Source organism: Homo sapiens, chromosome 13, assembly GCF_000001405.40.
Source record: "Homo sapiens chromosome 13, GRCh38.p14 Primary Assembly".
Taxonomy (NCBI): Eukaryota; Metazoa; Chordata; class Mammalia; order Primates; family Hominidae; genus Homo; species Homo sapiens.
Window position 1 is genome coordinate 33,003,227 of NC_000013.11, and position 25,491 is coordinate 33,028,717.

Here is a 25,491-nt window from a genome sequence, read left to right on the forward strand (position 1 = left end):
GACCTCTGCTACCATGATCACATCTTTGTCTCTAGCTCTGACTCTCCTGCCCCTTTCTTTCTAAGGACCCCTGTGATTACACTGGACTCACTCAGATAATGCAGAACAATCACCCTTTCTCCAGATCCTTAATTCAATCACCTCTGCAAAGTCCCTTTCTACCTTTTGCCATATTCACAGATCCCAGAGGGTGGATATCTTTTGGGAGATAATAGGGCATTAATCTTCCCACTATAATAGATGATCAGTAAATATTTGTTGAATGAATGAATGAACAAACGCTTTGTTTCTACCCATTGGAATAGTAAATAAATTTCAGGCTTTGTCCTGCTTGCTGTAAATTTAATTCTAGTTCAGGCCAGACTGTCTTCACACTTGGCATTCTAGTGGTTAATGTCCCCAGAGGATCTGGGTTGTACAGCACCCTCCACCCCAATCTGATGACACAGCTCCAGGTCAGCTCTCCTACACTGTTCCTTGTAACCTCTCCCTCCATGGGGCTTCCATCAGCTTGCTGTACAGCATGAGCTAATGACAGCTCTCACAGCACTCCCTATTTCTGCTTTTCAGGCATCTCAAATTTCACAACACCTTGCAGCCCTTGCCATTATATTCCCCTTTTGGCACTGATCATTAAAATCCACTAACACCATCTCCAGGGGCAACCTTCCCCAAGGGTGCTGTGCAGGCCTCTAGATCCCTGCAGCCCTAGAGGGCAGGGCTGGGTGTCGCTTCAGGATTCCTAAGTTGGAGGAGGGGGAATTGGAAGAATGGGTTTTATAAGAAGGTGCAATTACAAGCTCGATCATATTGTAGTTGCTACAGCACCTAAGGGGAGATGACACACATTCATTAATGTATTCTTCCAATATACACTGAGCACTTTGCAGAGTGAAGGACTGACAAGTGCTTCTCTCAAACCACATGAAATGCCCCTCTGAGCTAGATGCTCGCTATGGCTCCTGGGGACAGAACTAAGACCCTCTAGTGGGTGGTACCATGAAGCAGATTCTATAAAAGGAATCATATTTGATCTGTTGTAACTGTCCAACAATGGTACAGACTCTTTACTAGGCAGTGGTTTCCCCATTATGGGAAATGTTTAGGCAGAGGGATAAGGGGTTTAGAGAAGACTCCTACATGGGTAGGAGTTCAGATCATACAATTCCTAAGCTTTTTTCTAGGTCTAAGATGCTGTTTTTTATTAAGTTGGGGTACCAGGCTGGATAGAGCCATATGGTTAGTATATTGGTCACTGTTAGACACAAATGAAAGAACCCATTCTGGCTGCCTTAGCAGAAAAGGGATTTGTTTATTAACAGATACTAGGTTTCTCATAGAACGGTTGGGATGCTTTTCAAAACACAATGGGGGCTGAGCTTCCAGGAACAGGAAGCCACTCCCTCTTGTTGCCGCCAAGTGCTGGATGCCATCGTTACCAAGAGGAACTGGATGTGCACTGGAAATGTTTACTGAAACCTGGCTTCTCTTTCCCCTTCCTTCCCTGGCTCTGTGACTTCCATCTACTCCTTAACTCTATTCTTTGTTTTTTGACATTGCCTTTGTAAGACTATGGGCTCCAGTTTGGAATTTCCCTACATATTACACTAAATACTTCCTCTGGGGGATAGAGTTGGAAAAGAAAAGTTAGTGAGACCAGTGATTGTTTTCATGCAGATAGCATCAATCTCTGTTGACATCTGCCTCCTCTGGGACTACAAAACTGAGTTAATCCCAATGTGATTATTTGGCCCACATTTTTCTTTCTATTTCTTTTTCTCCTTAGGGGTAAGGGATGAGGAGTTAGTATTTATAAAGTAAAAATTAAAGGAAGAGGAAGCAAATTCTCCCCTCTATTTCCGTGCCTCAGAGATAAGCTTTTGCTATATCTTCAACTAGGAGATTTTTCTGGGGAAAATCTAAACTTGTAACATTATTGATTGAATTTTCCCCTATTGATATACATTGGAGATTTCCCTGTTGTTTGTTATTACAAACTGTGATACAGTGGGCATTTGTGCACAAATATTCTTAGACATTTGCTGCAACAGTTGTAGGACAGTCCTTGAAGTAGAATTTCTGAAACATAATGCATGGGTATGTGTATTTTATCCAGATAATGATAAATTACTCTCCGCCAAAGTTGTCAGATTAACATTTTCACCACTATTATATAAAGGCACATTTTTCTGTACTCTAACACTAAATGTTAAAAAAATGTTCCATTTTTGGATAAAAAATGCTATCTCTCTCTTTAAAATTTTTTCTTTTGTTCTTTATCACTAGGGTAGTTCTTTTTTGCTTGTGTTTGTTGGACATTTTTGTTTTTTTCTTTGTGACTTGCCTGTTCATATCTTTTGATGAGTTTCACAGAGAGTGGATTGTGTTTCATCTTTTAATTACAGGAACTCTTTATAGGTTTTACATATTAGCCCTTCACAAATATTTCTTCCCTGTCTGTCACTCGTGTTTAATTCTATTAATAGTATCTTTAATTACAGTTAACTTTGTCAGCCTTTTCCTTTATGTTATCTGGTTTTGCTTCATGCTGGGAGAGGCTTTCTTTACTGTAAGATTATAAAAATATTCTACATTTTTCTAGTATTTAATGCATTTAAACATTTTTGTTACTTATTAGAAATATGTTGTTAGTATGATGTGAATTTGGAATTAAACTTTCTTTTTTTCTGAAGGAATGACCATTTTCCCCAGTCTTAAAAAAAATCAGTCTTTCCCCACATTTTAGCTTATGCTAAATTACCATATGTATCTCGAGTTGTTTTTGTACATCCTAATATATTTTACTGCTTTTTCACTATTCTTATTTCAGGAATAGATTGCTTTGATTATATCGGTGTACTCTCCTCCTTCATTCTTTCCTCTATTTTCTGAACTGCTTTTGCACAATTTTCATTTCTTTTATCACTAATGGTGCTGAATATTTTTCATATTTATACTTTGATTGTTCTTGTGTTAATTCTTTGATGGTGTGCTTTGCCAATGTAAATGTATTGACTTTGAGATGCAGCCTTGAAATTTCTCAGAGGAGACACCAGGCAGGCACTGAAGGTGTGGGATGAGGTCGTGCCTGGAAAGATTTAAATGTGTGAATCACTCTCACAGTTGACACCAGGAGTAGTTGAGTTCTCAGAAGAAGGATGTCAGGAGAGAAATGAATGAAGGGCCAAGGTTTAGGAGATGAGGATAGCAGACAAGAGGAAGAAGAAACTCCTCACCAAGCCAGAATCAACAAGATCCACAGGTTAGGAAGGAAATTATAAAGATCAAAACGCTGGGCCACATAGGAGGTTCTTGCTGAAAAAATAAGATCTTCAGCGTCTCTCTTTAGGGAGAGATGACAAAAATGGCACAGGCACAATATCAATACCATAGGGGTGAGGATTTGTAGACAGCTCTGCTGACACTTGGTCAGGGGTTCAGACCCTAACACCCAAGTTTTATTAGTCACATTTGCAGAGGGATGTGTTTTATGCTATTTTCTATGCTAGTGATACAGTCTGATTAATTAATTCACATATTATTCCAACCAGTGGCCCTGATGACTCAGGACACCAATTTCAAGCCTGCGGTCAGCAAGAATGGCAATCTGTGAGAATGAGCTCAACAAATGCTAATTGGGCCATCCAAATTCTGAACCGTTGACCTTAGTCCTTAATCAACAAAAGAGACTGACCGTATTCAAAGAAACAGCAAATTTGCCTTTGTATTATGTGAAAGAAAAGTATAGCTGTTTTGTTATCTAAGTTAGAAATAGGTCCTAAAACTGTGAGTTTTAAACACCAGCACATAGACAACTTGAAATATTGTTTAAAGTATTTGAAATAAATATGGTTTATATAGACAGTTACTTCAACAAGGCATGCTGTGCAGCTTCAATCCTGCTGTTCAGTGATGCTTCAATACCCTTTTGTTGACTATTCAGGAAATTCACTATAGGCTCTTTTGCTTTCTTCATACTCACTCAGCTTGCTTACTTTCAGCAGTTGACTTAATCTTTTATTATACAAGAAAATATAAATTATTAGTTTTAAGTTTCCTGTCATTTGCCTCAACCCCAGTCAGCCTCTCACCTCAAAATATATTTGCCTATACCTTTGTCTCTGCTGCTGAATCTGTCGGTAGCTCTTCCCACCTCTTTCTTTCTCCTCTTAGGAAGATATAATCCTTTTGCACTTTGAACTAAGACTTATTGACATGTACTTCTTTTAACTTACACCCAAGTTAAAAAGTCAAACAATGTTGAAAGGTTAATTCAAAAATAATCAATCCTTTGGTTTTAACCCTTTCAACTCTTTCAGCTATTTTTTCATTCATTTGACATTTCACCTTCACATTTTAAAATAGAATGCATGCAGCACGTTCTCTTGAATCATTCATGCAATTGCCCAATAGAGTTATAATCAGAAGTGTCTATTACATTTATATTAAGCATAAGTATGTAAATTTCATTCACAGCTGAGCCAAGTAGTGTACTGTAATAACATTTCCTTTATCACACAACTTATTCCCCCCCTGGAGAAGTGCTTAACTATTTTTTAAAAAAACACATTTTTGAGTCTGGTTCTGATGCTTGCATTGTCTCTTCACACTGAGTTCTTTCTTTCTTTCTTTCTTTTTTTTGCCTTTTAGCATGTTTTGTAATTTTTGGCTGAAGGTTAGACATGATGTATCAGATAAAATGAACTAGGTAGACAAGCCCAAAAGTGTGAGGCTTATGTTTATCTGGCTAGGAATTAGGTTGTGTTTGTTTATTATAGCTGTGGTATCAGAGGCTAAAATTGCCTTTACTGTCCTTGTTTTTGTCTCTCGTATTGTTTTTGGGCTTCCCTAGAGACTTCTTCTTAAATAGGATCTGAAGCTTTAGCTGTATTTCCCTGTTATTATACAGAAGCCCTACTGATGTGGTGGTTAGGTGGGGAGTGATAAGATGTGGGGAAATGGGAATCATTCTATAGTCCTATGATTGGATCACAGTCTTTTAGTGAGTCTGAATTTGGCATTTCTCTTTCACCATATTGGAGACTTGGGTATTTACTTTGCCCAACTCGTATTTTTAAGGCCTCCGTCTCCTCCTTTCTTGTCTTAGTATCTCAGATCTTGATTCTTTCTGGAGGAATGTCAGGTAAATCATCTTGCTTCTCATTCATATGTCCCTCAGCTAACTCACTTACCAGCAATTCATATTCATTTCCTTTCCATATGCTAACCCCTCTCAGTTTCATTGAAAATAGATGTGTCTGTCATTCTCCTCATTGTATTTGGGGAAATTTTTGAGAGACGAAGGGAATAGAAACATCTTGACTCCAGCAATTCAATGCCCTGTGTCCCTGATGAGCCTATTCCCAGGTTCTAGACAGAAGCCTTGTGTCAGGGCATGTTTAGTTAGTGTCCAAATCAACATCAGGCTATGGAGGCGGGATATTACTTAGGAAGACATGGAAGGTGATGGAGAGTGCAGGATCCAAGCTCTTGGCTTCCTGCTCCACTTGGAAGAGATGCAGCCACCCAGGAACAGTCAGATTTCCCAGGATGCAGAAGCAACAAAAATTGAATCTAGTGGCTCCACAGTCTACTTTAGCTCCAGGGAGCTCTGCAGAACTATATCTTCCTGAGAACCTATTTGCAATTGTCTTAATGTCTTTTTGGACCTCCTTTTTGTTGCCTTTTTAGTAGCTTTTTGTCCACCATCCCTGATGCACTGGCTTATGTTCCCTTCTGCACCATGACAGTATTCCAGCTGCATCCTCTTGTTTTTCTGGTCTTCTTACTGGTTCCAGGTTTAATATCTTGGGACACTAAAAGTCTACAATCAGCTACTTTAGATCACAGCTGGTGCTAGTTAGGCTATTTGCTTCATCTTCCCCTCGAAACTCCCCATTCTCATTTTCCTTAACCTTTCCTTCTCAGCACAAAAATATGTGCAGAGTTCCCCATCTTGAAAAAATTTTCTCTGAACTCTGCTAACTCGACAAGTGACATTCTTTCTCTCTCCTCCCACTGGCAAACTTCTCAGAGAAGTGTACATCTGTGGCCTTTGTTTTCTTGCCACCCACAGACTCTCATTAATGACTTACATTGTAATCTGGCTTTAGTCCCCATTACAACTAAAAATCTGTCTCCAAAGTCACCAAATGAACTAACTTCTAGGTCAATTGTCTTTTCTCAACAAGTTTCATCATCTCCCCTTTTAAAAATACTCATCTCCTAAGTTTGAAAAACACTTCATCCTGGGACTTCTGGAACTCCTCTGTGGGCTCACTTTGTTTGGACTCCTTTCTTCCTCTACCCCACCCATTCAACTCAATGGAGACATTCGCCAAGACTCAGCCCTTGGCTTTTAGTTGTTTCTTTTTTAATATCCTCATCTTATGTGCTAGCCTCGTATCAACGTTTCTGGTCCAAATCCCCAGGCTGTAACTGCCTCCTGGCTTCAATTCTATAGTTCCATCATATGATTAATATCTTTACTTATATCTTTGAGTGACACTTCAAATTCAATATATTTAACACTGAATTTATCTTTTGCTCAAATTAGTTATACTTCTGAATGTACTTAAATATATCTATAGTCTTATTTTTATTTTCAATTAAGCTCAAAACATTAAGATCATCTTTTAGTCTTTCATCTTCTCTTCTCTCTTATGTTCAATCAGTCTTTTTTTGAATCGCCTTACATCTTTCCCTTCCTTTTCTTTACAATTTTCACCATGCTAGGCATAAGCCTTTCTTAACTTATTAGCCAGGTTACTGTAGTTTCTTTCAAAGTGGTCTTTCAGGTTCTAGCATCTCCTCTTTTAATTAATCCTGCCTGTCACTGCCAATCAATAGATTGGTTAATTAATATTGCCTCTGTCTTAAAATAAGTTGAGGCATACTGCAATTTGCCATTGTAACTTCACTAGTTAAAAACCCTCAGTGGTTCCTGAGTTGAGTTGGGCGCTTACAGGTTTGGACTTCAAATCTTGGAATGTAAATCACTTCCACATTTCTCTTACTTGCAAATAAGAAGAATGAGGATACTAGTGGGTGGAAGTGGCTCCCTGATGCCTCCCTAGTCCTTCACAAAGGTGCGCCTGGTATTTGGTAGTTCTGGAAATCTCTGTGGAATGAAGAATTTGCTAGATCAGAGAAGCTCAGAACTCCAGTGTTAATCCTTCTTAACCCTTTTGGGCTTGTTAGAGGTGTACTGGGAGAACTGGGGAATGTTGGCATGTAAGCTATTCACAGTTACATAGTTTTGTGTTCTGTTTATTGTCGTAACATCAGTTCTTCCTGAGGTTTTTCAGTAGAGTAGGCTTGGGCCGTGGCCTACTGTAGTCCCATGTAGGATGTCAAATATGGTTTTGTTGTGACCACTTTCCTTTTCTGTGCTCAGGGCAGACATTACTAATCAATCACAGGCTCTTTTCCTAAGCCGGGTTGTAGCTTTAGAATCCTCAATATTCTGTTTTGGCCCTGAGGAAGGGCAATCCATCCCTTACCAATGGGTTCATTCATCCACTCCTTCATTCCACAAATACGTAGAGAGCACCTACAGTGGACGGGTACCATCTCCTAGGTACTGGAGATATCGCAAAGAAAAGGCCATATGTCCATTACTATGGAGTTCACATTCTTATGGGAAATAAAGGAAATAAGCAAGTAAATGAACAAGATAATTTGAGACAGCCATAGGCTCTATGAGACAACTAAAACAGGGTACTGTAGTTGAGAAGAACTGGGGTAACTACTTTGGACAGAGAGAGCAGAGAAGGTTAAGGATATACTTTTTGTCTGGGAGCTGACTGAGGAGAGGCAAGTGGTTTCATGAAGAGCATTCCAGAGATGGGGCAGGGCAAGTCAAAGACGCCAAAGCTGGGAATAAGTTTGGTTTGTTCCAAGGACAACTAAGAGGCCAGTGTGGCTGGAGCAGAGTAACGAGCAGGGAGATGGGTAGAAGAGGACGAAAAGCACAGCCGAGGAAACAATCAATAGATTGAAGAGACAGCCTACAGAATTGCAAACCATACATCTGATAAGGGTTTTAATATCCAAAATATATAAGCAACTCAAACAACTCTATAGCAAGAAAGCAAATAACCCAATTAAAGAATGGGCAAAGGATCTGAGTAGACATTTCTCAAAAGGAGACATACAAATGGTCAAATCTATGAAAAAATGCTCAACATCACTAATCATCAGGCAAATGCATATTAAAACCACAATGAGATATCACCTCACCCTAGTTACAATAGTTGTTATAAAAAAAGATGAAAGATACCAAGTGTTGACAAGATAGAGAAAAAAGAAAATCCTTGTATGCCATTGGTGGGAATGTAAATTAATATAGCCATTATGAAAAACAATATAGAGGTTCACCCAAAAATTTAAAAATAGAACCACCATGGCCAGGCATGGTGGCTCATGCCTGTAATCCCAGCACTTTCGGAGGCCAAGGCGGACAGATTGCTTGAGCCCAGGAGTTTGAGATCAGCCTTGGCAACATGGCAAAACCTCATCTCTACAAAAAATAGAAAAATTAGCCAGGCATGGTGGTATATGCCTGTAGTCCCAGCTACTTGGGGAGACTGAGGTGGGAGGATTGCTTGAGCCCGAGGGACTTGAGACTGCAGTGAGTTGAGATTGTGCCATTGCACTCCAGCCTGGGGGACAGAGTGAGACCAGGTTTTTTTAAAAAAAAAGAAAAAGAAAAAAGAATCACCATATGACTCAGCATTCCTAATTCCTATTACGGGTATATATCCAAAGGAAATGAAATCGGTATGCCGAAGGAATATGTGCATTGTGTTGTTTACTGTATTACCATTCACAATAGCCAAGATAATGATTCAATCTAAGTATCCATGAACAAACAAATGGATAAAGAAAATGTGGCATATATCCACTATGGAATACTAGTCAGCCTTACAAAAAAAAGGAAATTCTGTCATTTGTGATGACATGGATGAACCTGGAGGGCATTATGTTAAATGAAATAAGCCATGCACAGAAAGACAAATACTGTATGATCTCAGTTATATGTGGAGTCTGAAAAAGTTGAACTCACAGAAGCAGAGAGGAGAACGATGGTTGCCAAAAGATGAGATGTGGGAGTGGAGGGGTGGGGAGATATTGCTTGAAGGATGCAAAATTTCAATTAGATGGAGGAATAAGCCAAGAGATCTATAGTGCCACATGGTGACTATAGTTAATAACAATATATTGTATTTTTGAAAATCTCAGAGTAGATTTTAAGTATTCTTCTTTTTCTTTCTTTTCTTCTTTTCTTTTCTTTTTTCTTTTTTGAAACAGACTCTTGCTCTGTTGCCAAAGCTGGAGTACAGTGGTGTGATCTCAGCTCACTGCAACCTCCGCCTCCCGGGTTCAAGTGATTCTCCTGCCTCAGCCTCCTGAGTAGCTGGGATTACAGGTGCCTGCCACCATGTTGGTGAATTTTTGTATTTTTAGTAGAGACAGGAGTTTCACCATGTTGGCCAGGCTGGTCTCGAACTCCTGACCTTAGGTGGTCCACCTGCCTCGGCCTCTCAAAGTGCTGGGATTACAGGTGTGAGCCACCACGCCCGGCCAGATTTTAAGTCTTCTTACCACAAAAAAAATAAGTATGTGAGGTAATACATACGTTTATTAGCTCAATTTAGCCACTCTACAAATGTGTATATATTTTAAAATAACATGCTGTACATGAAAATATATATAATTTTTTGTCTGTTAAAAATTAATTAATTAATTAATTTTAAAAAGAGGAGGGCAGGGAATACTTGTGTATTTTGTTAACTGGACAAATGAAACTCTACTTTCATTTGCTCATTAAACAAATACTTGTTTTGTGCTCAGCATGATTCTAGGCACTGGGACTACTGCATTTTGGTCCATTACTTCCTTGCGCACAAAAACCCTTTCTTTTCACCACGAATACACTATGAACATGTTTTTTTCTTCAGTGTTGGCATCTCTTGATTCCTTCCCTCCAGGTCTTTGTGCGAGTTTTACTCTTTAAACCCCAGATATTGTCATATTTTTCTCTGTTAAACTTTTCCAAACAACTCAAAATAGGGTAATTTCTTCTTCTTCTGAATTTCTCTGACAATTATTCTATGGGTCATTTATTAACACAGCATAATCAAACAACTTATTTATTTTCATCTTTCTTGATCCTTTCTTCAGTTGGATGTTGTCTTTGAGGGCAGAGGTTGTCCTCTATGTTTTGAAGTCTCCACACAGCTCGTCGTTGCCTTGCCCGTAGTTGTAGCTCAGTGAAATAAAAATATGTCCGTAGAAGGTGATGTCTGTGACTGGTGAGCTGAGAGCTTGTGGGGTTGGTGTTGTATTTGGGTGCATGTGAATCAGTGCATCTCCTGCTCCATTGGTGTTAAAAGGCTCCCATCGTCCTGGGAACACAATAGGAAAGAGAACAGGTGGGAAGGCACTGGATGAAGGAATGTGGAGAATGGAGGAAAAGTTGATCAGATTGTTGACAACTTTCAGTGTTGAAATTGTCACCAAAATCAAAGTCAGTAAATAAATTTACAATGTCCTTTTCTTCAATGCATCAATAACTTCACCTTCCTGTTCAAAGCACAGCAAGTAATTAATCTCTTATTTGCATTTGAAACCCAAGTTTCAGATGTTTGAAGGTGGTTGTAAAAAATAAAAACCAAAATAAAGCCAAAATAAATAAGCAGCAGCACTAGGCCGGGCACAGTGTCTCACACCTGTAATCCCAGCATTTTAGGAGACCGAGGTGGGTGGATCACAGGAGATCAGGAGTTTGAGACCAGCCTGGTCAGCATGGTGAAACCCTGTCTCTACTAAAAATACAAAAATTAGCCAGGTGTGGTGGTGTGCCCTTATAATCCCAGCTACTGGGGGGCTGAGACAGGAGAATTGCTTGAACCTGGGAGGCAGAGGTTGCAGTGAGCAGAGACCATGCCACTGCACTCCAGCCTGGGCGACAGAGTGAGACTCCGTCTCACACTTGTGGAACCCAGAACTTAGTAACCATGAACAGAACCTTAATAAACAGAAAGTTCTGGAAATAAAGTTTAATCATCATGCAATCTTTATCACTGGGTTAAATGAACAATCATCTGGGAACATGTCTTGGAATGCTTAAAGCTTTGAGATGCATGTGCCTATGTGGCAGACAAATTTCAAATGTGAAACGTTTAGTTAACTTGGTCTTGCTTTTTAATCACTGCTTTAAAATTTAAAAAATGCTGCTGGTCAAGTAAAAATAGCAATAGATAAAATCTGCCCTGAGCAAACAGACCATACATCAATAAATGAATACTTAGCTTAAGCGATTTTCCATGAGACCCATGAAGCATTTCTAATTGAAACTTAACAAGCTACAACCCAACAGACACTCCAATCTTCACTTCTAGAAGGGAAATGTGATACTCCATGTAGACGTAGCTTTTTAAATTTAGCTGGAAGACAGCGTGACAGTGAAGTTGTGTGCTGTAATTTTTTAAAATTGCTGAAGTGTCATGGTTTGCTATTTCGTATTTATTGAAAAAATGTAAATGCTATATTTAACAGAATGGCAGTAACTCTGTTTCAATCTGAAGACTTAATCTTACTAATCATGGTAATATATGCTGGCTGGAGTTGGGAATATTTCATAAAATACTGGAATAAATTTGTGCTTATATTTCAGGGGAATTAATAAAAGCACCTTCATCTGCAACATTTAAAATGTTATTGCCTTTAAATTTGTATTAAATAATGCAGGGAAGATAGATCACTGGGGGAGAATGGATGCACCTCTGTGAGGATCTTGGTCATTCAACACACGTGTACGGGTGAGGAAACTAAGGCACGACTTACTGGGTAGGGAGGTAGGGATATTAGCAAGATCCTTCACTTGTCTGGGCTTTCTGTCTTTGAGTCACCTTTGCGCAGTTTTTCACTGGACTTCACAAGCCTCTGAGGCGGCAGGGCAGACAGGACATCCTTATTTTATAGAGGAGGAAACTTAGGCTTACAGAGGTTTCCTGCCCCAAATCACAAAGGTGGAGCCTAGACCTTCTCAGTCTCCACCAACTGTATTTCGGTTAGCCACAATCCTATCTACCCACATCCAAATGGACACTGTGGCTCTGCAACTTCTGTCAAAAGGGCTCTTTGGCAACAGGAAAAACGTCATGGCTCCATTGTATTGTAGAGGATGGGAATGGGTGTTCCGGCTAAATTCTCCCTCCCCTTTCCCTCCACAGCTCAGATGGCAAATGTGCGACCCAGGGACCTCCCGCTCCAGCAGACCTGTGCGCACAACTTTGCACAGATTACCTGCTAAGTCAGAGCCGAAAGGTAACACAGATGCCAAAGGATAATAAAGGTGAATGAGATTTACTCAAAATTGGAAACTTGGTGTTTGGTTTTTCAGGAGAACAATCAACGACTGTGATTTGAAGTTCACCAGGGTATTCTGAGAGATCTAATCAAAGATAGAGTGCTGGTTTGAAATTATTAAAAGGTAACAGTAAAAGGGAGAGCAAAACCCCAGTCCCAACGCAACCCATAAATCTACTTTGTCTTCCTCGAAAGAGGGGCGCGGGTGGGCGCGTCTCCCCGCGAGCATCTCACCTAAGGGGGAATCCCTTTCAGCGCACGGCGAAGTTCCCCCTCGGCTGTCCCACCTGGCAGTCCCTCTAGGATTTCGGCCAGTCCCTAATTGGCTCCAGCAATGTCCAGCCGGAGCTTCTTTGGGCCTCCGAGTGGGAGAAAAGTGAGAGCAGGTGCTTCCCCAGCGGCGCGCTCCGCTAGGGCCCGGCAGGATCCCGCCCCCAAGTCGGGGAAAGTTGGTCGGCGCCTTTTCTCCCCGACGAAGCCGCTCCAGGGCTGCTCTCAGAGGACGCGCGGCAGGCAAAGAGAATGAACCTGAGCGTCCACGAAACGTCCTGCACGGCTCCCGGGAGCTGGGAGAAACAGGTGCCTTTCTCCGACGTCCGCGGGCGACGCCTGCCGCACCTTGCCCGCTGCCGCGCCCCTCCCGGGCACCCCTCGCCCTCGGCGCCCCTGCCCCCGCCCCCAGTGCCAGGGCGGAGGCAGTCCCGGCTCGCAGGTAATTATTGCCAGCGGAGCCCGCCGGGGAGCGGGGGTGGGCGCGCCGGCGGTGGGCGGGCGGGCGCGGCGGGGCGCGGGCATAAAGGGGCGCGGCGCGGGGCCCCGGAGCCTGGCTCCCGCGCAGCATGCCCGCCAGCGCCCCGCCGCGCCGCCCGCGGCCGCCGCCGCCGTCGCTGTCGCTGCTGCTGGTGCTGCTGGGCCTGGGCGGCCGCCGCCTGCGTGCGGAGCCGGGCGACGGCGCGCAGACCTGGGCCCGTTTCTCGCGGCCTCCTGCCCCCGAGGCCGCGGGCCTCTTCCAGGGCACCTTCCCCGACGGCTTCCTCTGGGCCGTGGGCAGCGCCGCCTACCAGACCGAGGGCGGCTGGCAGCAGCACGGCAAGGGTGCGTCCATCTGGGATACGTTCACCCACCACCCCCTGGCACCCCCGGGAGACTCCCGGAACGCCAGTCTGCCGTTGGGCGCCCCGTCGCCGCTGCAGCCCGCCACCGGGGACGTAGCCAGCGACAGCTACAACAACGTCTTCCGCGACACGGAGGCGCTGCGCGAGCTCGGGGTCACTCACTACCGCTTCTCCATCTCGTGGGCGCGAGTGCTCCCCAATGGCAGCGCGGGCGTCCCCAACCGCGAGGGGCTGCGCTACTACCGGCGCCTGCTGGAGCGGCTGCGGGAGCTGGGCGTGCAGCCCGTGGTCACCCTGTACCACTGGGACCTGCCCCAGCGCCTGCAGGACGCCTACGGCGGCTGGGCCAACCGCGCCCTGGCCGACCACTTCAGGGATTACGCGGAGCTCTGCTTCCGCCACTTCGGCGGTCAGGTCAAGTACTGGATCACCATCGACAACCCCTACGTGGTGGCCTGGCACGGCTACGCCACCGGGCGCCTGGCCCCCGGCATCCGGGGCAGCCCGCGGCTCGGGTACCTGGTGGCGCACAACCTCCTCCTGGTGAGTGCGAGGGGCCAGGCGGAGGGCCACGCAGGGGAGACAGAGGGCCTCCACAGGGGCCAGGGGGAAGTGTGGGAACTGAGTCTCCCCCAGACGAGGCTTCACTTGGACACGTGTATGTGGTCACCGGGGGAAACTGAGCAGTTCTGACTTCCCTTGGAAGGCGTGGAATTAGGAGAGAAATCCCTTAGTGGGCACACGAGTGAGTGCCCCTTGGAGTCCATCTGTGGAAAGGAAGCGGTGATAGGTTTCCGCAGTGAGGAAAGAAACTCCTTTCTCTGGGTGTAGAGGAATTCCTAGAGGTGAGGGCGGGGAGGATTTGCTAGGAGTAACTGCAGGAAGAGAATGAGCAGGGTGGATGAAAGAAACACGTTTGTTCTTAAGCCGCACAGATAGCATTACTCTCTGGAGCTGTCACGAGTTCAGTGTTAATCCAATAAGATCTGTCTTGCTTGTGGCACAAGTTCACACTGTTGTGAAAGTGTCAAAACACAACTCCCGGAGAGTCAGATTTAAACTGTGTTTGGAGGTCCCTTCTGCGGCAGGGCAGGGAACTGCATCCACCAATCTTATTCACCGGGGTGTGAAGACCGCTTTATACAATCTCAAACAAAGCTAGTCATAGAAACACAGAAACAACTGCAGGGTGATATAGATTGTTCTACCACATCTATATTTCCACAGTGCTCTCTACAGTTGAAAGGGTTCCTCACTTATGACATTGTTAGCCTGATAAAATTAATTGTAACACCCTTGTGCAAAATATTTTATTAATTTTGACAGCAGGAAATATTGCTATGCCATGGTAAAGTTGTCTCAAGTATTTCTTCCTCCTTTTTTCTCCTTAGTGTTCAAATTTAGGCACCATTGTTTTGGGGATTCATTTATAATCATGTCAGTTGTTAGTACACTTTGTACAGAGTTTTGTATCACAATAAAATATTTTATGTACATGTATAAACATTTTAATAAAAGTGTTTAAATGTACAACTTTTGGTACCCAATTCTGATCACTTGTGGGCCTACTGGAAGACTTATTTTTAAATTTAGAATTCAGCCACATATTCTGAACAAAGTCAGTACTAAAACCATTTCTAAACACTTTTAATTAAAGCCATAGATAATATGGGCAGAGCAGTACTGGGTTATTGAGGTGACTTAGTGCTCTGAGCTGCTGGTAATGTTGTAATAATGGCTAAATTAGATTTTATGTCAGTTCCACAAAACCTGTTTGCTGCTACTGGCCATAAAAGAATGTTGGATTTGTTTGGAAACACATTGTGATTTTTGTGATTTCATACTTATGTATGTCTTTTCATAAGGATGTTTTAGAGCGGTGATTCTTATACTTTTTCAATCCTTTTATGGATCTGAAAAACTCTAAAGACCACCAGTGTATGGCTGGTGATAGAAAAACTATGGGAAGAATGGTCTCACTTTTTGAAGAAAACATAAGCAAGTTATCAGTTCATACTGGAAGCAAATAAATGGATCAGCTGGAGGATCTAATAGATCATGCCCATAAAATCTTTACTTTAGATTTAAATCCTACAAGTTCTATTTTTAGAGTCCCTAGGATAAACTTGCATATACAAAGTAGTCAATTGTTATTATAGTGACTTATAGGATCATTTTATTATAAGATAAAGACTTGCGTGCTCTCTGGTGCTCTGGTGTTTTAAATAATCAACATGTTTTAGATCTTTTTGCCCACTCATGGCCCTCTGATTAACTTCTCAGTTATATTTTTCAATGCTTACACAAAAAATTTGCCAAACACTAACCATCCTTCCTAGAAATGCAGTGGACTTTGTATTTAGGGAAATTAGTAACAGGTGAATGCTCCATTTGCTGATGTTGCAAACAAACTGTTAGTTGGTGTAAAGTATTAATTTTGCTTTCACATTTCTTTTGGTTTGGTGTTTAGTCATTCTTGTATCTTATTTAGAAGCGAGTTCCCATTGTCAAAGAAAGTATCTTGAATTAATTTTGTTGTATGAGATACTTTCATTCTGTTTTCAATGACCTTTCTCGGTGTGTATATAGGGGTTGGGGGAAGCGAGAATAGAAAAATTTGAGCTTACCTGAAAAAGATAAAACATTCTGCAGATTTTGATAAAAGGGCATTTTAGCTGGGGCTTAGATATTGCTGCTGTACAGATATAGGGGCCAGTTGTGTTCCGGGATCTGATGTTGGTGAAGGATAAAGACTGGCTAGCACCCTTCCCTCACTCCCTCTGTGTTTCCACTAACTTACAAATGGGCTAAGGAGATCCCCTGGGATGATGGGAAGCTTGACCCCTCCTAGAGAGTCAAGAATCATTGATGGCCTGGAGGACAGGAGGCAGAACAAACAAACAGCAGGACAAATAATGGAGGCCCTGCTCAGAATGGAGGTCTTGGTGTTCTTTGTGGGTTCCTCATACTGGAGTGAGCCTTGGCAAAAATGGTGTGTGTGTGTGTGTGTGTGTGTGAGAGAGAGAGAGAGAGAGAGAGAGGAGACAGAAGAGAAGGAGAAGAGGGGAGAGGGGAGGAGGGACAGAGAGAGAGAGGTCTCCTACAAAGAGCTTGGAGCTCAGGCTGCTTTGCTCATTTGAGTGTAATCCAGGAGGATGCACCTTTTCTCTCGGACTTGAAGACCAACTGCTCAGCCTTCACAGCTCTTGAAACAAAGTTCTTAATGTCCCCTGAAATCAGCACTAGGGACTGTAGTTGGGGAGTTCAGCCCCAGCAGTGCCTCTGAGTCTTTGTTCTGTATATGGGTTCTAAGAGGATTAGAATCAAGTTGGAAATACACGTGTTCCCATTTCCCACCTTCAACTCCCCTCACCGCCTGAGATTCTTGCAAACATTTGTGCAAGGAACCTGTGAAAAAGACTTCTTTCACGTAAGGAAGTAGGGCTAGGAGATATTAATCTGGGCATTGTTGAGCATTAGCATCAGTGTGCAGGTCTCAGCCCATCTGTCTGCAATGTTTGTTGAAGCCATCACTTCTTGTCCCTTGAATCCTTCCTCAACTTGGATTTCAGGCCCTGGCTCTCCCTTGCTTCTCCTCTCAGCTCCCTGGCGATTCCCTCTTAGTCTCCTTTGCTTGTTCCTCCTCACCTTGCCTGTAAATAGTGGAGGGCTCAGGGCTCTGTCTAGATTCACTCCAGGCCATTGCTTTGAATACTGCTGCATCCCGATGACTGGAGATTTTGAGTCTCCACCCAGGTTTCCCCGAGCATCAGACTGGCATAGACAACCGCCTTCTCCACGTGGATGTCTAATGGGCATGTCACATCGAACACATCCCAAACCAAACCCCTGCTTCCCCTTCTCTATTATGATGACTTTTTACTCTTCCAGTTGTTGGACCCCGAATCTTAACTACTCCCCTTTTTCATGTCTTGTTTCTAATCCATCAACAAATCCTGCAGCTCTACCTACCTCCAGGATGTGTCCAGAATCAAACCACTTCTCCCCTTATCTATGACTACGATGGAGGTGCAAGACACCATCCAACCTTGCCTGGGTAATGGGAACAGCCTCACTGCTGGGGTTCTTATTTCTGCCTTGCCCCCTGCAGTGTGCCATGATGGATGCTCTACAGGGTGACATTATGTGTGGACAAGACAGAGTCCTTGCTTTTTCAAATCCCACCTGTTCTTCTGGAGCCAGCTAACACGCTCCCTTGGGCCCCATGCCTGAATGCCATCTCTTCCTTCTATGGCATCCTGCACAGGACTTCGCTTTGCTCAGATGCCTCCTCCCGCGCTCTTCCCTTTATTTAACCATTTGTCTCCATTTTACCCCTTCGCTATCTGGGGTAATCCTGTTCCCTTCATCTGTATCTCTGAAAATGGCATCTTGCCCTCCCTTGGTGCTCAGAAGGTGGCTTCTGGTTTACCGAATAGCCTGATTTCACCTTTATAAACTCATGCTACTAGAATTTTCTCTCCTTGTCAGTCTTTCTAGCCACTTTCCAATGGAACAGAGACTACCAAATCCTAATCTGATAAGGAAAAATAGGTAAACATAACGTGGCAGACTCTGACATCTGCAGTGAAAATTTAAGGTTCATCATCAAATGTATGATTCCATTGTGAAAATGTCCAGTTAAAAGCTATCTGTAGTCACCATGCAGCATTATGAAGAAGTTTTCAGAATAAGGGCAGGTGGTAAAGTCTCCTGGCCAGCTTTAGGAGTATATATTGGAAGGGGCTTTGTTAGCTGATTGAATTTTTATTCCCCAAGTAATTAGTATGAGCGATTTGTCTACTGTATATATGCTCAAATTACATATACTATGCACTTTTGAGAAATACTTTACAAGTTTTTCTTTCATTAAAATGTATTTGGGGCCGGGCGCAGTGGCTCACACCTGTAATCCCAGCACTTTGGGAGGCTGAGGCGGGTGGATCACCTGAGATCAGGAGTTTGAGAACAGCCTGGCCAACATGGTGAAACCCCGTCTCTACTAAAAATATGGAAAATTCACCAGACGTGGTGGCAGGTGCCTGTAATCCCAGCTACTTGGGAGGCTGAGGCAGGAGAATCGTTTGAACATGGGAGGCAGAGGTTGTAGTGAGCTGAGATCGCACCATTGCACTCCATCCTGAGCAACAAGAGCGAAACTCCATCTCAAAAAAATGTATTTTGTACATAACTAGAATAATCAACTGGATTGAAAGTTAATATAAATTTTAGAATACTACTGAATTCAATAGTGCATTTAGTCAGAAATAGTTAAAATATCTCCCAAACAGCTTGAATCACTCCTTTTTGAACACATTGTTTTTTGAAGGTTACAGTCAAGTCCAAGAAAAAATTTTAAAATAGGAAAAGAATTAATCAAATCATTTCAAAATCATAGCAGTGTTTTAACAATGCCAATTATTTTGAGTTGAAGAAAAGAAGGAAAATGTAAACTATGCATTCAAGTAATGTCAATGCACCTTCTCAGGTGCAAAATGAATGAACAATTAACTGTGCCAGCTGAATATGTAGCAATCACGGCTTTTGCACATAGAAGCCTTCTGAATTATCTTATATTCTCAAAAATATCATTGCTCTAAACTAGAATTTTATTATAATTAATTTGTGCAAAAGTTGTCTTTCTTTCAATGAATGTTGTCTTTTTGAGGCATAAAGGAAATTTTAGGTGGAGGAGGAGAATAGAATACATGCTTACTGGGAGGACAAGTAATAATAGGTGAGTAAAAACACACAGCTTATTGAATTGTCTCAGATCCACATTTTCTCCAGAAATGCAAAGTTATACTTGAAATCTATATTTAAACAGATAAGCAGAATGTGACTTTTATATGCTCTATTTTGATGTATTCTGAGTATGAAGATAACCTGAAGGATGCCTTTTTCCCCTCTTTATCTTGGGGTAAACTCTTACTTACCCTTCAGAGACTTGACTCAAATATTTTCATTCTGCAATAACCACAGGTAGAATGGATCATTTACTCAGTTGTGGCTCTCTTAAGAGCACAGACTACCTATCATATTTATTTCAAAATTTGTAGTGCTTATCTCAGTGCTTGGCACAGAGGAAAGAAATACAATTTTTAATAAAGGCATAAGTGGAGAGGTAAAATACATATTTCTGGTTTCAACGTGTCCATATTCTTTCTTGTAAATGGAATATTGCGCTTGCAGTCTGCTCTCACACAATATCTGGGAAGGAGTTTTAAAGAGTGAGGAAGAACAGTAAAGATTTTCCTAGGCAGATACGTTATGTGACCTTTGTTGATTTCCAGAGCACATAATATCCCAATTTCATCCAGTGGACAGGAAAAGAGAGGAAGAGGGAAAAGGTGGCCTCTCAAGTGCCTGACCTGGAAGCTGCACCTATCACTGTCCCTTGGGCAGAACTCAGTCACATGGTCAAAAGGAGTCTGCAAATAATTGTCCCCTGAGGAGCCGGGTGCTCAGTGAATGATTCTATTAAGTTGAAATCAGATGGGAACAGATCATTTAGGATAACCAGCAGGCTCTACCACATTGCCTAACTCCCAGGCATATTGTGAGAATTAAAAGCACCTTATATATGTCAACGTGTTTTGAAAAAATACAAAAAGCTCTACAAAAGTGAGCTATAAATTTATCATTAATAATAATAGTAATAATAGCAAAATACTTGAGAAATGGTCCTCTTGAGCTGTTTAGAAGGAATCATACAAATGCATTAGACATGGTAGCCTCACTTAACTACTTAATTTGCCTCTTCTTTGAAATTATTTCAATAGCATTTGACCAAAAACTATCAAATCATTTTTGAAATAACGTATTTTTACATAAAACACATTATCAAATATCTTTCTGGATCCAGCTTGGTGGTAAAAAGATACATACTAAAGTTTATGACTGATATAACTTTATATATTGACTAAACCAAAGATAAATATTGATTGAACTTTTGTGGCCCCAGTTTCAATAGATTTTTTTATTAACATTTTTTGTTTGAAGTACAGATGTCACGTCATCCATGAACCGGTATCATTATAGCTTGATAAAATACTCAAACTGAAAGCAGTGATGTACATTAATTTTAAATATAATGGTTAAGCAAATGTTATTTCCATATCTATAAGTGCATTTTATTTGATAATTAGAATGTTAGAATCAGAAGGAATTTGGAAAATCCCAGGTTACACTTCTCTCCAGGACGAACTCCTTACAGTGGCTCTCCTGGGGTCAGCTAGCTTTTGCTTGACCCTTTGAAGCAGGAGGAACTCAGTTCCACTCAAGTTGCCCCCTTGATTTTCTCTTTCATATTGAACCTGCTGCTGCACAGGACTCCTCCGTGACTGTCTCTTTGCCTTCCTAAATCTCAAAGAATAAAGCAAGTCACTTTTTGACAAGACATCTTTCACATATTTGAAAAGACATCTTTCACATATTTGAAAAGACCAGTACGTTTTGTTCTTCCTAGAATTTTCTCCTTCATGCTAATGTCTGCTCCAAGAAGACATGGAGGTGACTGGACATTTAGTCAGGAACATTTCTTGAGAGCTTACCCTGTGGCAGGCAGGTGCAATGTTGAATTCTGAGAATATGAATGTAACCTTTGAACAGGTGGCTCTGTCTTCTGACGTTTCAGGATAAGGTGGAGGAGAGGAGAGGGGAAAGTCGACCTATCTCCCCAGCGGGGAGGGTTTAGGGTTGTCTGTGGGACCTGCCTCTGTCTCATCATCCATCACCATTGTCCTGCTGATGGGTGCAGAGGACTGAGGACGAGTGGTTGGAGTTCTCCCTGTGCCGGACCCTGTAGAGAGTCCAGAGCCCTGGCTCCCAAAGGAGGCATATTTGTAGGGCTCTTTTCGTGAGGGTCCAGAGGACGGCTGCAAAGCTGCAGGGGAGGATGGGGGCATGGGAGGCAAGCCCGTTGCCCTGTCAGAGCCTCTTGGGGATGCTGCTCTTCCCCGCCTGTCCTCTCTTCTCTTTGATTTCTCATCATGTGGTCCTCTTTCCTCTGCCTTTTCCTCTCTTCGGTGTCCCAAGTTCTTCCATAGAGACCTGTGTCCCCTTGTTCCCATCAGGCCTTTATGCCAGCCCTGCACAGGTGCGGGGACAGTGGTAGGGGCGTCTCACTCCCGACTCAACTACATTCTCCCAGAAATTGTCTGCAGTCAAACACAACTCAGCGTGGACATTGCTCACCAAAGGTATACTGCTTGGGCTGCACGAGAGATTCAGTTTTCTCCTATCTATCTGGCATGGGCTGTGAGGGGGCTCCTAACCTAGGGGGCCTTTTTACTCCTTCCTGGCCAGAGCTGCCATTTCCAAGTTTCTGCACTGTCAGAAAAGAGGGATAAGGTAAGATTCCTGCCCTCATGTCACAGATTAGTAGGGGAGAGGTAATTGTCAAATAATTACAGTAAAATGTATAAATGCCTTAAGAGAAATAAGTACTTGCTTAGGAACCTATTTCAAGAAAGGAGAGATAGGTTAGCGTTTTGGGGAGGTAGTACGGGAGCAGTCAGGGAAAGCAATACTTGTAAGATCAGAGGCTGGCAATCTTTTTCTGTAGAGGGCTAAGTTTTGGACTTTGCAGATCCTACAGTGTCTGTTGCAACTATTACACAGTTCTGTGGTTGCAGCATGAATGCAGCCATGGGCAATGTGTTAATGAATGGGCACAGCTGTGTTTCAATAAAACTTTATTTACAAAAATAGGTAGTGGGCCCTGCTGCTGGGCTTGGCTTGCTGGGCACACAAAGTGAGAAGGGCATTGTGCCTTTCTAGGAAACATCCCTTGCAAAGTCAGTACAGGTGAGACAGTGTGGCCATTCCCACCACAGCATGAGGTCTTTTGAATGGCTGAAGCGTCAGGTGGGAAAGGATGAGGAGCTGAAGAAGAAAGCCTGGGAATTTCCAAGGCCTCTCTTAACATTTGCTGTGCAGAACCAAGCAGTGCCCCAGGTGTTCAGAGTAGGCTTCAGCGATTACATTTCTTGTTAGACACTGAATTTTGTTCATGCCGCCCAAGATTGCATTAACAATTTTGGCTGTCACCTTACCGCGGACTCAAATTAGTTTGCAGTCAGCTAAAACCTCTCAGGTTTTTTCCCCCCAGCTTGTGAATTGCTGTGAAGCCAAACATCCCTGTCATCTCTTTGGTAGTTTATTTTCAAACTTTCAATCTTATTAAATTTCATCTCCAATGTGCAAAGATAAGAGGAAGTTTACCGCTGATGGTGGTTTATTCTTTAAAACTGGACATCAGCTAAATGTGTTAAGGTAATCCGTTAGAGGAATGTTGGTACGCTTATACAGTGGAATACTAATTGGTTATTAAAATGTTGATGTATGATTATTAAAAGGCAGCCCATGTTATGTCTCTTCTGTATGAATAAGTATGTAAAAAGTATGTAAAGATTACTGTATAGTTCATGGGTGGGACTGGGCTCTCTCTAGCCTCTGTCCTTCATTCTCCCTGCCAGTGCCTTTTCCCTTGCAGTGTCCCTTCCCTGGCTGCATACTCAAGACTGGATTTGCCCAGCCAAACCCCATTAACTCACAGAAGCAAGAGGAAAAAAATAAATTCTTATTAGTTCAATTCTCCAAATTGGGGGCGGTCTATTTCACAGCAATAGGTAACTGACGTAAAAGGAAAGGAAACAATGAAGTAATTCCAGAAAATTTCCTATAGCTGGAGGACATGCATTTTCATATTGAATGGGAAGAATGGGGTGGGGGGGTCATACCTCTGTGTTATTGCAGGGTCCTGGCTCCTAGGGACCTAGGCACCTCTTCAGTCAGTGAATTATAGCTTGGAAAATTGGCTAAGTCGGGGAACTGTACAAGGGGTCATCACTTTTTATGTAGCCATGCTCTATGAACCATCTTTATAACTCCCTGGCTTCTGGCAGTTAAGCACCACTCACTATCTGGCCTCTGTAATTTCAACTTCTGACCATCCCCGTGGGTGGCAACAAGCCCAGCTCTGTGACACCTCTGCTACCAGCAGCCCTGGCCTGGAGAGCGGTGCCCCCACTGAATGTCTCAGTGAGATTGGCACCCCCATGAGCATATTCCTGAGGGTGCAGTGAATGCTCTTTCTCCCTACTTGGGACTTCTGGGAAACACTGTCCTCTGGTGGGTTGTTTGACCTCACATAATATACTGGTTCTTGCATGCCAGCTTCTCTCTGCTTCTTGATTCTTTTATCAGCTGTTAGGGCAACAATGTCAGGCATTTCCGCCTGCTCAGCATTGGGCATCCCTTTTTACAGGCTTCTCAGAGCCACCCTAGCAGCAACTTTACCGCGTCTCCTGGGGTCCTTGCTGGATCGTGAAAACATACTTCCGGAGAAAGTGTTCCCTAGATAATGAATTATTTCTTGTCCTGTGTTAAGTTCCAGTTCCTTGGTCAAGGACCCCAGCGCTACTCCTCAGGATTTGCAGTGCATGCTCAATCTTGAAGCAATGTTGGGATATAGTATCTTTTCTTCTCTATCAGGCCCAGCTGTCTCCAGGTGGGTTATACTAGGATTTAATCCTCGTTAGTGCCGGGTCAGCTCCTGAGGGGTGCACCTGTTGCTTTTTAGGGACGAGGCCTCTTCAGCATAAAGAAGTGCTATCTCTTACTAGGGAAGAATGGGCCACCTCTGTAAGCTCCAAATATTCCCAGGTTTCCCCAACCGGGGCCTTGACCTTGGCATAACTGATCTGCCTTGGCTGAGCATTTAAACATCCCTAAATCTCTGCAAGTCTATCAGGTCCTAGGCCTGCTGCTAAGTTTCTCTACTCTTCCACTGTAGGAGAGAAGGCTGTGGCTCTTATATTGAGCCTTTAACTGTTTGTTATTGGCCCTCAGTTTCTCATTAGCTCTCTGTAGAGTCTCAATACAATATATCAGAAAGCATTCAATTCCATCTCCTTGTAGGCAGGGAATGCCTAAATCATTGCACCTACAATGACATTCTCCACCAGGATATTTCCCAGGTTACTGCTGTTGAAATATTTAGCAATTGAAGCACCATTTGTGCAAGGGGACTATCTGCCCCTACACAACACTCAGAATGGCATTCTCTTTGCTTTCCAGAAAGTGAATGAGCTGGTTCCCCAACCCCTCTTGTGTTAGTTTGAGTCCTGAAAGAAGTAAATGTCAAGATAGGATTAGATGTACAAGAAATTTATTGGGGAAAGAATTGTGAAGGATAAAGGGGAAGGAGCTAGGGGAGGCATTGAACCTTTGGATCATGATGTGTGTCCAACAACTATGAAGGAGAGTGGGCAGGGAGAAGGATGGGCTGGGAAGAGTTTCAGTTGGCACTGTGGGTCTCAGAACAACCCAGGCATAGGCTGATGGGGACGCCTTGAGCCAATGTTGCCCATTGGCGGAGTCCACATCTTGCTGAAATGGGCCTGCATTAGTTCCCCTGCCATGTTTAGTCATCTGGGAGTAGCCGATGAGAATCATGATCTTAGGATCAACTGCAATGGCAGATTCAAAGGGGTAGCAACTGATGGCCTCAGTCAACTGTGCTCCTTATAGCAGGAACACTGAGCAGTGCATTTCTTGGCCATCACAAAGACTAGTGAGGAGTGCCCTTCAGAGAAGGGAATGAAAATTATTTCCAGCCTAGAATTTGATACTTATCTAAACTGTCAATCATTCATGAGAGTCAAAGTCCCAAAAAATAAATCTTCCATAAACCCTTTCTCAGGAAGTTATTGGAGGGTAACCGCCACATAACATGAGGAAGACAAGGAGGAAGACATGGGATCTATGAAAGGGCAGGTCTAACCCAGGAAAAGGATGATGAACTGTAGACCCATGATGTCAGATGTGCAGCAGACTAAGATCAGCCAGTGCAGAATGGGGGAGATTCCAGAAGTGTGTCCCCCCAAAATATTGGAGGCTCATGTGACTTCCCTGGGGAAGTTTCTGCTGAGAGGCTATTGGAAATTGAGGGAAGAATTAGCCACAGTCCCAAAGAAAACAGAGCCAATCAAAAAGC

The 25,491-nt window shown here is 42.9% G+C and overlaps 2 protein-coding genes across 6 annotated transcripts in view, besides 5 other annotated features; one reads left to right on the top strand and one right to left on the bottom strand.

Moving 5' to 3' along the window:
• On the bottom strand, window positions 9,626–13,227 carry LOC124903151 (translation initiation factor IF-2-like). Of its 2 annotated transcripts, none has more exons than XR_007063749.1 (2): window positions 12,610–12,788; window positions 9,626–10,447 (listed from the first exon to the last, which is right to left on the bottom strand). XR_007063749.1 is itself a non-coding variant. In XM_047430819.1 (2 exons), the coding sequence occupies exons 1-2, from the start codon at window positions 13,214–13,216 to the stop codon at window positions 10,219–10,221; spliced, it is 798 nt and encodes a 265-aa protein (XP_047286775.1). In that variant the 5' UTR covers window positions 13,217–13,227; the 3' UTR covers window positions 9,626–10,218. The 2 variants fall into 2 exon arrangements, 1 of the variants encoding a protein (XP_047286775.1); XM_047430819.1 differs by having other exon boundaries at window positions 9,626–10,409; window positions 12,610–13,227.
• Window positions 12,801–13,376: an enhancer, noted in NCBI's record as "H3K27ac-H3K4me1 hESC enhancer chr13:33590165-33590740 (GRCh37/hg19 assembly coordinates)". NCBI's record gives its function as "activates a minimal SCP1, AML or CMV promoter by ChIP-STARR-seq in primed H9 embryonic stem cells {active_cell/tissue: H9 hESC(primed)}" and the evidence as "EXISTENCE:reporter gene assay evidence [ECO:0000049][PMID:30033119]".
• KL (klotho) overlaps window positions 13,017–25,491 on the top strand; it is a 49,901-nt gene continuing 37,426 nt past the window's right edge. For 3 of the 4 annotated variants that reach the window (NM_004795.4, XM_047430776.1, XM_047430775.1), the window contains exon 1: window positions 13,197–14,033. In NM_004795.4, coding sequence (NP_004786.2) covers window positions 13,215–14,033 — 819 coding nt within the window. In that variant the 5' untranslated portion in view covers window positions 13,197–13,214. Of the gene's footprint in view, window positions 13,088–13,196; window positions 14,034–25,491 lie in introns of those variants that run through there. The other variant, XM_006719895.3, reaches the window with a different exon arrangement.
• Window positions 13,233–13,302: a silencer, noted in NCBI's record as "silent region_5253". NCBI's record gives its function as "represses an Ori minimal core promoter by ATAC-STARR-seq in GM12878 lymphoblastoid cells {active_cell/tissue: GM12878}" and the evidence as "EXISTENCE:reporter gene assay evidence [ECO:0000049][PMID:35858748]".
• Window positions 13,377–13,954: an enhancer, noted in NCBI's record as "H3K27ac-H3K4me1 hESC enhancer chr13:33590741-33591318 (GRCh37/hg19 assembly coordinates)". NCBI's record gives its function as "activates a minimal SCP1, AML or CMV promoter by ChIP-STARR-seq in primed H9 embryonic stem cells {active_cell/tissue: H9 hESC(primed)}" and the evidence as "EXISTENCE:reporter gene assay evidence [ECO:0000049][PMID:30033119]".
• Window positions 13,993–14,092: a silencer, noted in NCBI's record as "silent region_5254". NCBI's record gives its function as "represses an Ori minimal core promoter by ATAC-STARR-seq in GM12878 lymphoblastoid cells {active_cell/tissue: GM12878}" and the evidence as "EXISTENCE:reporter gene assay evidence [ECO:0000049][PMID:35858748]".
• Window positions 14,163–14,222: an enhancer, noted in NCBI's record as "active region_7567". NCBI's record gives its function as "activates an Ori minimal core promoter by ATAC-STARR-seq in GM12878 lymphoblastoid cells {active_cell/tissue: GM12878}" and the evidence as "EXISTENCE:reporter gene assay evidence [ECO:0000049][PMID:35858748]".

Coding starts and splice junctions, on each gene's coding strand:
- LOC124903151 (XM_047430819.1), bottom strand. CDS start 13,216: ATGCTGCGCGGGAGCCAGGCTCCGGGGCCCCGCGCCGCGCCCCTTTAT. Junction 10,410..12,609: donor TGAAAGGGATTCCCCCTTAG/GTGAGATGCTCG, acceptor TTGTGTTCCCAG/GACGATGGGAGCCTTTTAAC.